At 41.8% G+C, this 16,780-nt stretch overlaps 1 protein-coding gene and 1 long non-coding RNA gene across 3 annotated transcripts in view, besides 8 other annotated features; one reads left to right on the top strand and one right to left on the bottom strand.

Moving 5' to 3' along the window:
* Positions 1–568: 568 nt before the first annotated feature.
* On the bottom strand, positions 569–4,363 carry ARHGAP42-AS1 (ARHGAP42 antisense RNA 1). Its single transcript, NR_133571.1, has 2 exons — positions 4,041–4,363; positions 569–2,111 (listed from the first exon to the last, which is right to left on the bottom strand). It is a non-coding gene; the product is annotated as an ARHGAP42 antisense RNA 1 (long non-coding RNA).
* Positions 3,066–3,360: a silencer, noted in NCBI's record as "tiled region #11910; K562 Repressive DNase matched - State 2:TssF". NCBI's record gives its function as "represses a minimal TATA promoter and a strong SV40 promoter by Sharpr-MPRA in K562 cells {active_cell/tissue: K562}" and the evidence as "EXISTENCE:reporter gene assay evidence [ECO:0000049][PMID:27701403]".
* Positions 3,066–4,070: a biological region, named in NCBI's record as "Sharpr-MPRA regulatory region 11910".
* Positions 3,297–4,007: an enhancer, noted in NCBI's record as "H3K27ac hESC enhancer chr11:100557620-100558330 (GRCh37/hg19 assembly coordinates)". NCBI's record gives its function as "activates a minimal SCP1, AML or CMV promoter by ChIP-STARR-seq in primed H9 embryonic stem cells {active_cell/tissue: H9 hESC(primed)}" and the evidence as "EXISTENCE:reporter gene assay evidence [ECO:0000049][PMID:30033119]".
* Positions 3,411–3,600: a silencer, noted in NCBI's record as "silent region_3856". NCBI's record gives its function as "represses an Ori minimal core promoter by ATAC-STARR-seq in GM12878 lymphoblastoid cells {active_cell/tissue: GM12878}" and the evidence as "EXISTENCE:reporter gene assay evidence [ECO:0000049][PMID:35858748]".
* Positions 3,696–16,780, top strand: part of ARHGAP42 (Rho GTPase activating protein 42) — a 306,654-nt gene continuing 293,569 nt past the window's right edge. For both annotated transcript variants that reach the window (NM_001367945.1, NM_152432.4), the window contains exon 1: positions 3,696–4,240. Coding sequence is in view for 1 of the 2 variants with exons in the window: in NM_152432.4 (NP_689645.2) it covers positions 4,087–4,240 (154 nt within the window). In the remaining variant the exon portion in view is untranslated. The remainder of the gene's footprint in view (positions 4,241–16,780) is intronic.
* Positions 3,721–3,770: an enhancer, noted in NCBI's record as "active region_5427". NCBI's record gives its function as "activates an Ori minimal core promoter by ATAC-STARR-seq in GM12878 lymphoblastoid cells {active_cell/tissue: GM12878}" and the evidence as "EXISTENCE:reporter gene assay evidence [ECO:0000049][PMID:35858748]".
* Positions 3,901–4,070: a silencer, noted in NCBI's record as "silent region_3857". NCBI's record gives its function as "represses an Ori minimal core promoter by ATAC-STARR-seq in GM12878 lymphoblastoid cells {active_cell/tissue: GM12878}" and the evidence as "EXISTENCE:reporter gene assay evidence [ECO:0000049][PMID:35858748]".
* Positions 4,091–4,460: an enhancer, noted in NCBI's record as "active region_5428". NCBI's record gives its function as "activates an Ori minimal core promoter by ATAC-STARR-seq in GM12878 lymphoblastoid cells {active_cell/tissue: GM12878}" and the evidence as "EXISTENCE:reporter gene assay evidence [ECO:0000049][PMID:35858748]".
* Positions 14,892–15,392: an enhancer, noted in NCBI's record as "H3K27ac hESC enhancer chr11:100569215-100569715 (GRCh37/hg19 assembly coordinates)". NCBI's record gives its function as "activates a minimal SCP1, AML or CMV promoter by ChIP-STARR-seq in primed H9 embryonic stem cells {active_cell/tissue: H9 hESC(primed)}" and the evidence as "EXISTENCE:reporter gene assay evidence [ECO:0000049][PMID:30033119]".

A 16,780-nucleotide genomic window follows, 5' to 3' on the forward strand; every position in this document is an offset into this window, starting at 1 on the left:
TTGTGTGTGACAATAATAATACTTCTAATAAGGCAGAATAAAAAGATCTCGCCCTCTAAGGGCTTAATCTGAACTTCATTTTTTGGCTGTCAGAAGAGTATTTTAGAAAATTAAGTCAAAAATTAAGTAGGTTCAAATGCTTGTTTCTTTTTGTTTATTTGTTTTGGGTTTTTTAAAATTTTTATCTGTTTAAGATGACAGAGTCTCGTTCCATTGCCCAGGCTGGAGTGCAGTGGCACAACCTTGGCTCACTGCAACCTCTGCCTCCTGGCTTCAAACAATTCTCGTGCCTCAGCCTCCCTAGTACCTGCTGGGATTACAGGTGCACACCACCACACCCAGCTAATTTTTCTATTTTTAGTAGAGATGGGGTTTAATCATGTTGGCCAGGCTGGTCTCGAACTCCAGGTGAAATGCCCACCTGGGCCTCCTAAAGTGCTGAGATTACAGGCTGAGCTACCAGGCCTGGCTCCTCATATGGGTTTTAAATGTATATCTAATTCTTATTTCTTCTTTGCTTCTCTTTTTGATGACTGAATCATCTAAGTGAAATAAGACAGACACATTGTGCAAATATTGTATAATTTCATTTATATGAGATACCTACATTGTCAAATTCATAGAGACAGAAAGTACAATGGTTACCAGGAGCTGGGAGGAGGGGAAACCAAGAAGAAACACTTGGTTTCTGTTTAGTCATCTCTTACCAGGCTTGAACTTAACCTCAGATCAGCTGAGTCTGGGTGGTCTAAATCTACATAATTAATTGAAAAGTAATAATAGCTTGACAATAACACTTACTGAGTACATACGAAGTGCCAGGCTTAAGTGTCAGACATGATCTACGTCAAGAAACAGTTTTAGGCAGATTTACAAATGCCATATTAGTTTACTATCCTCTACTATCTATTTGCTCTCAAAAGCAAGTAAACAAAGCCCACATATCCCATTCCAGAATCAGGAAAACAAAGAGACATTTCTCTGTGCCAAAGAGCCTGTCAGCCAATAATATTTGCGAAGCTTACCACGCAGCTTACGGTGTCATGTGTTATGAAGTGGAAATTTCTGGACAGGCTATATTTCAATCCATTACATTTGTTTATGAAAACAGGCTTGCAGGTATTGCTGATCTTTTATATAGAAAGTCTATTCTCTAGGAAAGAATCTGGTTCAGTTAATTATGATGGAGAGAATCATGCATGGAAACAACAGTTCAAAACCGACAGTAAACCCACCTCAAAGCAAAAGCATTTCTGGTTTTTCTCAAGTAGCTGTGTTAATGTGGCATAAGAGAAAGCCTGACTAGCAGGTATAATTAAAGTATGAATCATAGGAATAAGCATGAGTAACTATGAAAACACCTACAAGAAATAAGCCCATTATAACATGATAAACTTTAGGGAATCATGAGTGAAGGGTAGGAGAAAAAATCCTAATTCCATGTAAATGCAATGATGGGCCTGAGTGGAAACATATTGATAAACAATAGCATCAATGTATTATTAGTACAGCATCTGTGTGAGGCTGTGGAACACAGCATATTCTGCCTTATGCTTTATGGGTACTTATTTTCCACATTTCCTTTTTCTGAGAACTGCTTGAGGTCACGGATAATGCTTCTGTCTTTTTATAGAAATCACTTCCCCACCCAGACCTTAGTAATGTAGACAGTAGACATAAAACATATCATTACATACATGAATGGGCAAATGATAACCTGTATCATAGAATGTACAATACATCTGCCCTGGCATGTAACACTTTTAAAGAAAACTAAACATTGACATCCAACATATTAAATGCAACTTATGAAACACCAATGATGCATTTTTAAAGACTTAATCACAGTACGATGATTTAATGAAAAACAAGAAGAGAATGTTATATTTTATCGTTTCGTATCTCAGCAGTTTGGCACTGGATTCAGTTGATAGGAACAGCAACATGGCAAAAGTTGAAAGGAAACTGTTTGGCCTGGGTGATTTTTTGTCTTTCAGGCAGAGTAATGAGTAAATACAAAATCACCTCTGGTGAGACACAGTCCACTGGTGTTTATGTCATGTCATTTCATTAACTGACAAACAGAATTACTGCCTCTCCCTTCCCCAAACCTGCAAAAGAAAAAAAAAATTGAAGAGTATTTAGTTAACAAAAACAAATTTAACACTTGGAGTTAAAATGGCTCTAATAGTGACTGGTCATTTTGCCAATATGGGGCCAAAGATGTGAATATGGATGGAAGGTGTTTTGAGATGGAGTCGTTCTGTCACTCAGGCTGGAGTGCGGTGGAGTAATCTCGTAATCTCGGCTCATGGCAATCGCCGCCTCCCGGATTCCAGTGACTCTCCTGCCTCAGCCTCCCAAGTAGCTGGGACTACAGGCGTGCGCCACCAGGCCCAGCTAATTTTTGTATTTTTTAGTAGAAACTGGGTTTCACCGTGTTGGCCAGTATGGTCTCCAACTCCTGACCTCAAGTGATTCTCCTGCATCAGCCTCCCAGAATGCTGGTATTACAGGCGTTAAGTCACTGCGCCTGGCCCATACTGTTTACATTATCTTATCTGTTTTAGGTTTACATGTTATTTTTAATGTTCCTGTACATTTAAAAAATTGAAACCAAGAATCTTGACTGGCTCTGAAACTTAATTGGGAAAAATGTAAAGCACTTTAGTGGAATTTTTCCCATGATCTGTAGAATAGTTTTTAAACAGATGGTTCATATGGACAAAGCAATGAAAATGCAGAAATTAAAAGCAGATCCTTAAGAACAATATCCGAGTTCTCAGAAATCCTATAGATGATGTCAGGACGAGATGTAAAGCAGTCGTTTCTTTTGCTGTCAAGGTTTTAAGAGAACAGAAATTTATTAGGTGAACCTCCACCGGAGGAAGGATAAAGCCTGTGGGTAGGAGTTAACTATTTATTTCAAACTCCAGTCCACTTCAACAATTTGAAAATTTTCCCGCTCCTAGGACAATTCCATCCAGGTGCCAATAGGAGATACTACTATTGTGATGCAAATAGGTATTCTACTAGAAGTAGGAGCACGTAAGCAGAGTGAGGATGACTTGAAAAATCGTCCCACCTTCCCAGCTATGGAGTGGGGGCAGGGGGAAGAAACACCTCCAGGCTGGATCATTGAAGCTGAGGGGTGGGAGAGCGACGGGACAATTTTTCAACGTGGAATTCAAATGCATTCGGTGGGGAAGTGTGAAGTAAAATCTAAACGAACGCTAGACAGTAGTATCTTCCATCTACGCTTCAAAATACTCAGACTTTAGGGAAACTTAACGTTGGTTTTTCTCCCAGAGAATTGTAGGGAGTGGGTGGAGGGGACACTGTTAGGGGAGGTATATTGGGAGTCAGATCCTTTTGTGGAGCGAGGGACCCCGAAGTGTCACCAAGGGCTAGCCGAAACCAGGGGCCCAAGAGGGGACAGGGCTAACACCCCAGCCAAGGCCGGAGCGCAAGCGCGGGGCTGCAGCGCGGGGAGCCCTGGAGCCCAGTGCGGGCGGACGGGTGGGGCAGGAGGGCAAAGGGGCGAAGGGGCGGGGTGGCGCTGGGTGGGAGCGCGGCGGCGGGGAGGAGGGTCTGGGAGCCCGGGTGCGATTTGCAAGCGCTCTGAGCCTGCGTCCGCCGAGGGGGAGGGTTTCCCCAGCCCGGCCGGAGTTGCGGCTGTGCGCTGCTTCTGGCTCACAACGCCGACGACTGTCAAGAGAGTTGGGGAGTGGAACTGCCGGAAGTGTCTGCGCGCCGTGAGAGAAACTTTCCTGCTCCGGCCGCGGCCCGGAGCCTCGCCGCCCCCGCGTTCCGAACGACGATGCGTCCAGATGACAACAACCTGAGGGGACTCGCGCCTCGGCCCGCCGCCCGCGCCTGCGCTCGCCTAGCCTCGGGGGAGGAAGACTGAGCCCGGCGCAGGCGGCGCGGCGCTCGGGGCCCGTTTCCTCCGCGCAATCAGTCCCCTCGCGTCCCGGCGCCTTCCCCGCGATCGCGCGACCCCAGCGCCCGCCGCGGCCGCCGGCTGCCCCCGCCCTGACCTCCGGCCCGGACGTGTCCGCGGCCGCCGCTGGCAGCGCCTGTGCCATGGGGCTGCCCACTCTGGAGTTCAGCGATTCCTACTTGGACAGCCCAGATTTCAGGGAGCGCTTGCAGTGTCACGAGATTGAGCTGGAGCGAACCAACAAGTTCATCAAGGAGCTCATTAAGGACGGCTCTCTGCTCATTGGGGCGTTGAGGAGTAAGTAGGGCTGGCGGGGGAGTGGACACCCGCATCTGGAGAGTCCCCGCGGGGTGCGGGTCCGAAGGGTGGGTTGGAGGAGTCGGAGCTTCTTTTGTTTGAATGGATTTGGGGACAAAAGCTGAAGAGCTCCCCTGCTGGTGGCCAACAAAGTTTGTTCTTGAGGTGTTCTTTACTTACTCACATGTCTACAGGGATGGGGAAAGTTCTCTACAGGGCACTGGAATATATCCTGAGGAAAGTCGTTCAAAGTCATCTCGTTGTGTAATGCTCCTAGGAAGATGTTGGGGACTTTAATTTTTTTTTTTTAATTTATTGTGTCTATTAATAGTTTGAACTAAAAAAGCCCTTAAGGGGGGAATCAAGAGTTTGTCTTAAAGATAAAATTAGGCTAGTTTAGTGATATTGAAAGAAAATTATTAATGTCTCTCATACGTCAGTGGCTCTTCATTGGACACAGTCATTGAGTTGGCTTTTTAAAAAGCATACATTTGCAGTTTTGCCATTTTGTAAGATAATGGAAGACAGCAAGGCACCAGTGCATTTTAACTCTGCAAGTTTTCTGTGCGTCTTAGTTTTGGTTTGCATTGTGTGGGTGTTGGGTGTGTCATTGGGATGAAAGTTAAGGGGTTAAAGGCCAATCAGAACTTTTGATGATCTGTAGAATATAAAGACTGTTATAGTCTATAATATAGGGCTTCTTCCACCTCCTTTCCCATACACCTCTTGATCAAATTTTCCTTCCTCCTTTTATCCTCTGGATCTTAGCTTTCAATTCCTAAGACCTAAGAGTATCTGAAACTGAAGAGTTTCTCTTACAGAGAATTGAGCACAATTACATGATATGGCTTGTTACCTTTCCCAGGAGGTATTTGCATCTTTTAAAAAATTTATTTTTATTTATTTATGTATTTATTTATTTTCCATCTTCAAAGGAGCCTGTGAAAAGTATTTGCATCTTAATAGAGGCTTCTGGATGTTTTAGCTACTGAAATGAAGCCGTGGAATCTCTGGTCACTTAAAGCTGGGTGAGTGAGGTACTTTCAAAAGGTAGAGAGACCTTTGGGTGATCTAGTTACCCCCAGGACATATATGGGGGCATCATCTTTGTATAACAACATGATAGGGATGTGTGCGCCTAAAACTGAGACAATACTAGTATCGGATCTATATTTTGAAACATGTATTAACAGTAAGGAGAGAGCTTAGCAAGATGTCTTGAAATTAATGTGCTCCAAAATATCTTTTAATCATCCCAAATGTTAAAACATTTACTTAACCACTTGTGTTACTTAACCAAGGTAAAGATAATATATTTTATGCCCATATTCACTTAATTTCTGAATTTGAGGCTACTACTAATAATGGTATTTACTGTGATTTGTGAAAAATATAGTTTGTCTGCAATTCTTGCCACCCTACATAAACACTAATGTGAACTGTCCTTCCTCTGGCTTGCAAATCCTGGTTAAAGTCTCGCGGGACTAACCTCTTTGCATCTAAGAGAGCATGATGCCTCTTCAAAAAGAGCTGCATCTCAGAGTGTCAAATGCCAAGCCAGTTCTTGTTGGAGGTGCCAGATATTCTACATTTTTCTCCCCGCTCTGCTTGAGATAAACTTTAGTGTTTCAGAAGGTCAAAATACTTACATACCTGTGATAAATGCTCTGACATGTACATTATATTACGAGTGACATTACATACTTTATTATGATGGTTGAATCTAGCTTTGTAAAAGTCAGGTGATTCCCATCATTATAGTTTTGTTCTTCCATTCATAAGTGAAGAAATCTTGGGAGCGTAGGCTCTTTGAAGATATAGGCCCTGCATCATTAATTTGGCTTATGCACTTAATTATACAACCTGCTATCTTTCTAGGATTCTTAAGTTTGTGGTGAGAGTGTATTACTTTAACTAACGTTTGATTATTACTTCTTTCATTGTGAAAAGGAAAAGATTTTATTCCTTGGTAAAAGGATTCCTAACAGCAGCTGCCAAATGGGAGGGATTTTGGAGCAAAGGAACCCTTGAAGTCACACTGTAGCACTGATTTTTTTCGTACCAAGCCACCTTTTGTCCCTTAGGAAGGATGCTCTGAGGCTGGGCTGCAGCTGCTTGGATAGGAGGAGTGTGTCAGAAAGGATTTGAAGCCTGCTTGGTTCTATCACTGGCTGCCCCTGCCCTGACCACTAGCCCAGACATGTCCCCTGGCATAGCTGGCAGTGCTTGTACCATGGGGCTGACCATTCCACTGTGGGAGCGTCCCTGTACCATAAGTCTGCCCACTCCACTAAGGGAGTCCTTCTTCCCCCAGTCTGTCTTTTCTGTTTTTCTTTCCTGCCTGGGGAGGACTTCACCTTCCCTAACTTTATATAGACTATTTCAATAGATGTATCCATTACCCGTTTCAGTTTTTTTAGCACGGCACTGTTATTTTTATTAATAATTAATGCATTCTTAATGTAACCTTATTAAGCAATTATCAGTGTATTTCTAAGCATATTATATTATTTTTATCCCTGTTGTTAACTTTTCCCGTGAGAGTTTTGACTTGCACTCTCTTAGGTAATACACGCCTGACTATTCCAATAAGAGTCACACATGCTCCTTGCTCTGTGGTTCAAGTTGTAATTTCTTCAGTAGACTATTTGGAAGGCTCCTTTAAATTGAACTAGAAGATTTCAATTGAACTAGATAATTTCAATTTTAAATAATACATATAACATACTTAACACGTGTTTAAATATCCAATATTTTTATTTTATTTATTTATTTTTCTTTTGTGACAGAGTCTCGCTCTGTCGCCCAGGCTGGAGTGCAGTGGTGCGATCTCGGCTCACTGCAAGCTCCGCCTCCCAGGTTCACACCATTCTCCTGCCTCAGCCTCCCAAGTAGCTGGGACTACAGGTGCCCGCCACCACACCTGGCTAATATTTTGTATTTTTTTTTAGTAGAGATGGGGTTTCACCGTGTTAGCCAGGATGATCTCGATCTCCTGACCTCGTGATCTGCCCGCCTCAGCCTCCCAAAGTGCTGGTATTACAGGTGTGAGCCACCGCGCCCGGCCAACATCCATTATTACGTTTCAGATTCATGTCCACTTGGAGAAAAAGGATAATGGTTAATTAAGTGTATCGACCTAGACTTGGATTTGACTTTTGGTGTTATCAAGTACAGTGTGATAGTTGGCAAGTAAGTTAACCTCTCTTAGTCCTAACTTTCATGTGAAGTGAGGAAAATCTATACAAATCTTACCATTAGGATTGTTTGCTCATTTTGTTATATGCCACATAGATATTTTGTGAGTGATGTTTGAAAATATTCTTACTGGTGAATAGTTTTAGTTAATGGTGTATGACTGAACATCTCTACCCTTTTCATCAAATATAATTCTTTGAACTGTATCCTTTTAACAGGTCTCAGTCTTAAAATTTGAGCTGTGAAAAAGTAGGTTACTTTTGCTTATTAATTTTTTTTTCCTTTTAGGAATTATATTCAAAGAAACATTTCAAAATTGATTTTTTATATAATTTGCCTTTTACTTTTTCTTGTCTTTATACTTTTGAATTCAAAGAGTCATCTTTAAGTAAAATGAGCTTTCTCCTTGTAATAATACACAGACCCCAAAAAAGAGACAAAAAGAGAATAGACAGAAATAAACAGAATAGAAACTTGATAAGCAAGGAGATTTTTATTTATTTATTTATTTTGAGACAGGGTCACTCTGTCATGGAGTGCAGTGATACAGACACGGCTCACTGCAGCCTCTACCTCCCAGGCTCAGGTGATCCTCCCACCTCAGCCTCCCCAGTAGCTGGGACCATAGGAATGCACCACCAGGCCAGGCTAATTTTTGATATTTTTTGTAGAGTCGAGGTTTTCACCTTGAGGTTGTCCAGGCTGGTCTCATCAAACCCCTGGGTTCAAGCGATCTGCCTGCCTCCACCTCCCAAAGTGCTGAGATTACAGGTGTGAGCCACCATATCCAGTGCCACAAGATTTTAAGTGTTCTAACCACACACACAAAAGTGATAAGTTTATGGGGTAATGATCATATTAGCATGATTTAGCCATTCCACAATGTATCAAATATATATAACATCATGTTATGTCTATCAAAACATTATATTATACACCATAAATACATACAACTTTTATTTGTCAATAAAAAATAAAAAAAGAAATAAATAGCAAGAGTTATACTCACTGAATTGAATTGTTTGGGTGGGGACAGCATTATCAGCATTCCTTCTCCACCCTAGCCTGCAGCATCTTGGCTATCCTTTCTTCCTTATTTCAGTCTTCTAGTTCCCTTAAGCTGCAAATGGACTGCTGTTTGGTTTGCTTTTTGGAAAATGTTTCTAAACTTGTATGTTTAGTATTGATCAAAGGAAAAAAAAGATAATGGACTCTTGTATACATTTAATTATTTATTGTGATAATTAAATATACACAAGCATGGAACTATAATTCTATGCTTATAACATTCATGCAATCTTAAAAGCAAATCAGTTTACAAAGTAAATAAAAACAATATTGTGAAACCAGTACAAAACTTGTCAGCAACATTTAGTTAATCTAATGGATGATGTTATTGTGCTGAAGCTCATTTTCTTCTCAGAGATTGCTGATAATATCTAGTGTGTTGTTGATGATTCATTTTCTCACACTTTTCCCAGTTGCAACCTGCAGTTCTTGAGAATCTTCTTGCCCTGATGAAGGCCTTCCTTCCATCAGAAGCTTTATTTGTTTATTACTCGGTCATGTTGCCTTTGTTCTGGTAGCAGTTGTTCCTGGCACTAGTGATCCATGACCCAAATGAAGATGGCACCGATTATGTTGATGATGTGGACAATGCAGTCAGTTAAGGCATTAGCCAGAGGAGAGCACAGTTTCTTAAAGGTGTCTACCCTGAGTGTCCACAGACCTCAGTTTGAGATACGCTGCTATGATACATTTTTGATTTGAGAATTAAGTGGGTGTTTATAGTGAAGGAAAACCCTAAGTGCAAATAACAGGTGGAAACACCTTAGACAAGATGAGGCACCTCTGCCTTTCATTTTCTGTGTTTCACTAATGCAACTTAGCCTTTTTTCACTCAGTGTTTTACTTTTTAAGCCAGCTTTGACTTTGTGTGTGTGTTCAGGGCCCACTTAGCTACTAGAATTTTTGGTAGCACAAGGAAAGAATTAAAAGGGGGAAAAAGGCAAGTTTACAAAATTTGAGACTTCCCATAGTTACTGCCCTATTTACTTGGTCATCCTTTAGCTTCTTGTAAGAACTGCCATTGTTTTAGGATATTTTTGGTTATATAAATTTGCACGTAGGTTTTTTTTTTTTTTTGAAGTGGAACTCATCGCAGATTCCTGTTTGTTTTGTGAGAGTTCCTTATTCCACTAAGGTTGTTTGCTTGTGTAGTTGGGCAGCCTAATCAGAGGTGTGGAGGTGTAATTACTTCAACCATTCATTTACTTCTTATAATCATTAGAATTTAAGTTAAATGAGCAGAAGTAATTGCATCTTTCAGATGAGCTGTAATTAATTTTAGGAACTAGTAGATTAGGAATGTGGTGCTTTAAGGTTCTGTTTCCAGAGACCTGTTGCAAGTAAAAGCAGTTATACTTGTGTTAATTTAAATGTGAGCCTTGGCACTCATTAGAGTGAAATGAAATTGGGCTGGCTATTTACTTCCATCTACCTCTCTTCTCATGATCTCCATGAGCTTAATAGGTGCCCTTTAACAGTATCTTTATTTCTCCTAGATTTCTTTTTTCAGCCCATTGTAATTAAAGGCCTCTCCTGGGTTCGGTCAGAGAATGGGTTGCTGTCAGAACAAAAAACAGTTCCTGTCTAGTGGAGACTGGCTTAGCAATAACTACCTTTTGCACTGCCTGTTACAGTTATGATCAAGGTACTTTCAGAGTCCAGGAAACACAGGTAACCACTACACTTTAAGTCACTGAAGAGCTGATTTAGCAACTGTCCATTCATTTATTAACATTTCTTGGAGTACAGTGCTGATTGTGTTAATGATGGTGTTTAAGAATTATTCAGATTATATAAGGTGAAAATGATAAAGCTTACATTAGGATTGCTTTCTTTTCTTTCTTTTTTTTTTTTGATGGAGTCTCGCTCTGTTGCCAGGCTGGAGTGCAGTGGCATGATCTTGGCTTGCTGCAACCTCTGCCTCCCCGGTTCAAGCAATTCTCATGTCTCAGCCTCCCAAGTAACTGGGATTACAGGCGTGTGCCACCACCCCTGGCCAATTTTTTGTATTTTTAGTAGAGATAGGGTTTCACCATGTTGGCCAGGCTGGTCGCAAACTCCTGACCTCAAGTGATCCACCCACCTCAGCTTCCCAGAGTGCTGGGATTACAGGCATGATCCATAGCACCTGGCCAGGATTGCTTTGGTGTCAAGTGCAGTTTTTATTAATGTATATATGGAGAGTGGCAAATCTTTTCTCTAGATTCATAAACAAATAATATCCTAATATTTTAAAATTAGGATATTAAGCTGCATTAAGTAAATGATATGCAACACTGAAATGTTTATTTTAGATAGATAAGAAAGGTTGAAGGAAAGGGGGGTTATTTAGTCTAAAGTCACTTTCATGAATGCTGATTTCTTGCGAGAGCTGTGATTGCCACCTTTTCTGGCCCAGCCATCCCTGCTGTATGAATGGTAATTTCTGCTCATTTCAGCCTTCTAGGCCGGTGCCAGCCTCCCTGCAGCTCCACCTGCCACCCACCAATTTCACCTTGCAGCTCTGCCAGTCTTCCTTTTCCTCTAGCCTGCTGAACCTCTGCCCAGCATCTGATAATCCTTATAGTATAGCTCCAGTGGTTCAGGCCTCATCAACCACAGGCTGCTTCTTGCTGACTTTCATCCTGAAAATTAAAATCACATGCTGAGGCCAGGCGTGGTGGCTCACGGCTGTAATCCTAGCACTTTGGGAGGCTGAGGTGGGTGGATCACTTGAGGTCAGGAATTCGAGACCAGCCTGGCCAACATGGTGAAACTCCGTCTCTACTAAAAATACAAAAAAGTTAGCCAGGCATGGTTGTGCATGCTTGTAATCACAGCTACTCAGGAGGCTGAGGCAGGAGAATAGCTTGAACCCAGGAGGCAGAGGTTGCAGTGAGCTGAGATCGCGCCATTGCGCTCCAGCCTGGTTGACAGAGTGAGACTGTCTCAAAAAGAAGTAGAAAATAATAAAAACACTTGCTGAGCACCTGGATCTGGAAGGCACAGGACCTGTGCTCCATCTTTTACAGCTGCCATATTCTGAGTTATAATGGCTGGCTTTTGTATAAGCGTAGCAACTTACATAACATTTGTTCACCTTAATGGCCCTTGAAGCAAAGGAAAAGAGGCAGGATGATAACAGGGCAGTCAATGGAAATGTAATTATTTTAATTATTTTGTCTTTGGCTAGGTGAATTCAAACATCAGCCTGGATATTTCTGGTAGGGTAGATTCTTCTCTCTAGGATTCATTTGCTCTTGATGCCCAGGTTGGAATGCAATCGCACGATCTCAGCTCACCGCAACCTCCACCTCCCGGATTCAAGCTATTCTCCTGCCTCAGCCTCCCAAGGAGCTGGGATTATAGGCGGCCATCATCACGCCCAGCTAATTTTTTGTATTTTTAGTAGAGATGGGGTTTCACCATGTTGGTCAGGCTGGTCTCAAACTCCTGACCTCAGGCAATCTACCCTCCTCGGCCTCCCAAAGTGCTGTGATTACAGGCTTGAGCCACCGCACCCGGCCTCTAGGATTCATTTAACCAGAATATTTGGTTAATCAGAATACTCCATTCTTTTTATCTGCAGTATTCTGATTCTTTTATCAAAAATCCAGTTATAATACTAAAGAAAGTGTTTTGGTGGAACACAAATAGAACAGTGTGTGTAAGGAATGTGAATTGTGGAATAATAGTAATAGTAGCTAATAATCTGTCAGTTGTCCCAACCTTTTTCCTTTTTGCAGACATGGGAACACATAAGAGAGGAAAAATAAGCCTGAATTTTCTAGGATTTTGAGGATAATTCCTCTAATTTAATTTTTACATGGAATATAGTGGGAAAAAGCTAGGATAAGACTAATAGTGGCTGGGCGTGATGGCTTACAGCTGTAATCCCAGTGCTTTGGGAGGCTGAGGCAAATGGATCATTTGAGTTCGAGTTGGAGACCAGCCTGGGCAACATGACGAAACCCCATCTCTACAAAGTATACAAAAAATTAGCTGGTGTAGTGATGCGTGCCTGTAGTCCCAGCTCCTTGGGAGGGTGAGGTGGGAAGAGCGATTGAAGATCTGGAGGTTGAGGATGCAGTGAACCATGATCATGCCACTCCACTTCAGCCTGCACAACAGAGCAAGACCCTGTGTCAAAAAACAAACAAACAAAAAAACTGGTAACACTTTGTAGATTATTTTATGTAAAATCAATTATGACAGATTTTCAGTTCCAATTTTTAGATTCTATGGTAAAATGTCTATTTTTTTTATTTTTTATTTTATCTATTTATTTTTTTTGAAGCAGACTTTCACTCTTGCTGCCCAGGCTGGAGTGCAATGGCGTGATCTTGGCTGACTGCAACTTCCGCCTCCCGGGTTCAAGCAATCCTCCTGTCTTAGCCTCCTGAGTAGCTGGGATTATAGGTGTGCACCACCACGCCCAGATAATTTTTTGTCTTTTTAGTAGAGATGGGGTTTCACCATGTTGGTCAAGCTGGTCTCGAACTCCTGACCTCATATGATCCACCCGCCTCAGCCTCCCAAAGTGCTGGGATTACAGGCGTGAACCACTGTGCCCGGCCCCCTAATTTTTTATTTTATTTTATTTTTAGAGACAGGGTCTTGCTCTGTTTCCCAGGCTGGAGTGCAGTGGCTATTCAGAGGCAAGATCATAGTGCACTACCGCCTCAAACTCCTGGCCTCAGTCAGTTCTCCCACCTCTACCTCCTGTGGAGCTGAAACTATAGGAACATGCCACTGCACTTACCTCAAAAAGTCTTAATTTTTAAAGGTATTTTTAAAATGCCAAATATGACATTCTAAAATGTTGGTTTATCTGATTTGGTGATCATCTCTGGGTATACTGGAGAGTGTCTTCTATTTTGTTAAGAATGGGGAACCATCTCTAGGAGGGTTGTCAATGTCAGGTAACATGTAAAAAAAAAATTGGAAAACTGCTGCCTGTATATAACTTGCTAGATTAATAATAATACTATCCCTGAATCTTGGCTTTACTCTGGAAAAAAGTAGGTGGAAACGGAATGACATCCCTTTATTTGGAAGTTAGGCATGGTCATCAGTGGTGGAATTTCTTTTTTTGTTGTTTTGGTTTTTTTTTTTGTTTTTTTGAGACGAAGTCTCGCTCTGTCGCCCAGGCTGGAGTGCAGTGGCGCCATCTCGGCTCACTGCAAGCTCCGCCTCCCAGGTTCAAGCCATTCTCCTGCCTCAGCCTCCCCAGTAGCTGGGACTACGGGCGCCCGGCACCACGCCCGGCTGATTTTTTGTATTTTTAGTAGAGACGGGGTTTCACCGTGTTAGCCAGGATGGTCTCCATCTCCTGACCTCGTGATCCGCCCGCCTCGGCCTCCCAAAGTGCTGGGATTACAGGCGTGAGCCACCGCGCCCGGCCAATCAGTAGTGGAATTTCTATGATATTTCCTCATGCAAATCTAAAAAGCCATATTGCTTGCTGCTCTATGAAAGACGTGCCAAATAGTGTTCCCTTGTGTGTAAATATATACTGGAGCTTATCCAAATGAAAGACCCAGGTTCAGTTTTTCTCTTTCGTATACAGGAAAAGTGATGATTTAATTTGGAAAACTGGTCTGTGTCTGTGTGTGGACTGGAGTGATAAGGCACTAATAGAAATAAGTATTCTGTCTAGTGTATTATCCCTTTCCAAATGAGAGCTATGTAAATTGGTTTTAGTTCGCTGTTGTGAGAATTTTCTCTTCTTCATTTATTTAATTTCCTTATTCCTTAAAATGTCTGAATGAAAGATAGGGGCCAAACGGTGGGAGTGGAGAGCAAGGGGAAGCAAATTAAAGTCAGTTGTGACAACAATTTACATATTATGGTTTTGGAACTTGTATTAGACTTTCTCTTCCTTCTATGAAAAAGTTACTCTGTAATACTAGAGAATCAAAAGACTCTGAGACTAGCCTTCCAACTGTTTTATTATTTATTTTAAAACATTTTTAAATTAAAAATTAATTATTTGTAGAGATAGGATCTTGCTATGCTTCCTTGGCTTGTCTCCAACTTCTAGCCTCAAGCCATCCTCCCACCTCAGCCTCCCAAAGTGTTGAGATTACAGGCATGAACCACCACACTCAGCCTTCAACTGTTTTAAAAGTTGGTTGTAATCCCATCACTTTGGGCGGCTGAGGTGGGAGCATCATTTGAGGCCAGGAGTTGAAGACTGGTCTGGACAACACAGTGAGACCTGTCCCTATAGAAAAAAAGAAAATTAGCTGGGTGTGGTGGTGTGCACCTGTAGTCCCAGCTACTCGGAAGGCTGAGGCAAGAGGATCACTTGAGCCCAGGAGGTCCGCGCTGCAGTGAGCCATGATCACGCCACTGTACTCCAGCCTGGGCCACAGAGCGAGACCCTGTCTTAAAAAAAGGTCATTTTCCAACATGGAGAACCCCCGTTTCTACTAAAAATACAAAATTAGCCGGGCATGGTGGCGCATGCCTGTAATTCCAGCTACTGGGGAAGGGAAGGCTGAGACGGGAGAATCACTTGAACCTGGGAGGCGGAAGTTGCGGTGAGCCCAGATCGTGCCATTGTACTCTAGACAATGTACTCAAGAGTGGAACTCCGTTTAAAAAAAAGGGTCATTTTTAAAAAATTTATTTTTCATTTTTTTATAATTGGTTATGGAAAACTTAAGGAAGAACATTCTCTTTAAAAATTGTCAACTTTAGAGATAATCGAGGTGCCTTTTTTAGAGGCACACTGTTTGCGGGAGATTTGGGAAAGCTGTGTACCATGAAATAATGATGTTGACATATGAGCTAAGAGGGAGTTTTTAAAAACAATTCTGGTTTTCCTTAGGGGTGACTTTTGCTAAGGCTATTACTTTTTTCTAGTTCCAGCTCCATCACTGTACCTGTTTCTCAGTATGTGATGTTGCAGAGCTCCTCTTCCATTTTCATTTTATTTCTTCTTTCTTTCTCTTAAATGTTGGTGGTACCTTCTCAGCCCTTTCACTGTTTGCTTTCCTTGTATGATAACGTCACCTCCCAGGGTTCCAACCCTGACCTCATTTTCCTAAACTTTGGGCCCGATTTTTACCAGCCCAGGGGATATAACTACCCTGATGCTGATGTGCTTTAGGCAACATCAGACTCAATCTGTCAAAAAATAAGTTTTTCTTTTCCTCCAGCTTGTTCTCTTTGTATTCCTTTTTGTTCAGTTATAACCTCATGCATCTGGTAAATCTTATTGGGAAACACTGAATCCTTCTAACTCTTCCCATTTTTCACCCCATCCATTTTGTTAGCCCTGCAATTCTATATCTAAAATATCTTAAATTTGATTTTCTCTGTCTGCATTAATATATTTTTATATATAGAGAGATTAATGATTTTTTTCTTAGCTTAAAACAACAAATTTATTCATGTATATATATATATATATATATATATATTTTTTTTTTTTTTTTTTTTTTTTTTTTTTTTTGAGATGGAGTTTCACTCTTGTCACCCAGGCTGGAGGGCAATGGCGTGATCTCGGCTCACTGCAACCTCTGCCTCCTGGGTTCAAGCGATTCTCCTGCCTCAGCCTCCCAAGCAGCTGGGATTACAGAGGTGCGCCACCACGCCCAGCAAATTTTTGTATTTTTAGTACATATGGGGTTTCACCATGTTGGCCAGGCTGGTCTCTAACTCCGGACCTGAGGTGATCCACCCGCCTCGGACTCCCAAAGTGCTGGGATTACAGGCATGAGCCACCACGCTTGGTGATTCTCTTATAATTCTTGAGGTTAGAAATTGGAAATAAAAGTGCCAGCAGTGCCATGCTCTGTCTGAGTTCTCTATGGGAGGACCCTTCCTTGCCCTTTCTAGCTTCTCGTGGTTGCCAGCCATCCAGGGTATTCTTGGCTTGTAGATGTATCACTCCAATCTCTGCCTCTGCTGTCACATGTCATTCTCCCTATGTGTCTCTGTTTATTATACCGGCAGATGTCAGAGATATTGCAGGTTTGGTTGCAGACCACCGCAATAAAGTGAATATCACAATACAGTGAGTCATGTAAATTTTTTGGTTTCCCAGTGCATGTAAAGCTTATGTTTACACTATACATAGTCTATTAAATGTGCAATAGCATTGTGTTTAAAAAATGTGCAGACCTTAATTACAGGACACTTCTTTGCTGAAAAATGCTAACAATCATCTGAGCCATCAGCGAGTTATAATCTTTTTTGTTAGTTAAGGGTCTTTCCTTGATGTTCATGGCTACTGACTGATCAGGGTGGTGGCTGGTGAAGGCTGGAGTTCCTGTGACAATTTCT

This window comes from Homo sapiens, chromosome 11 (genome assembly GCF_000001405.40).
Source record: "Homo sapiens chromosome 11, GRCh38.p14 Primary Assembly".
Classification (NCBI taxonomy): domain Eukaryota; kingdom Metazoa; phylum Chordata; class Mammalia; order Primates; family Hominidae; genus Homo; species Homo sapiens.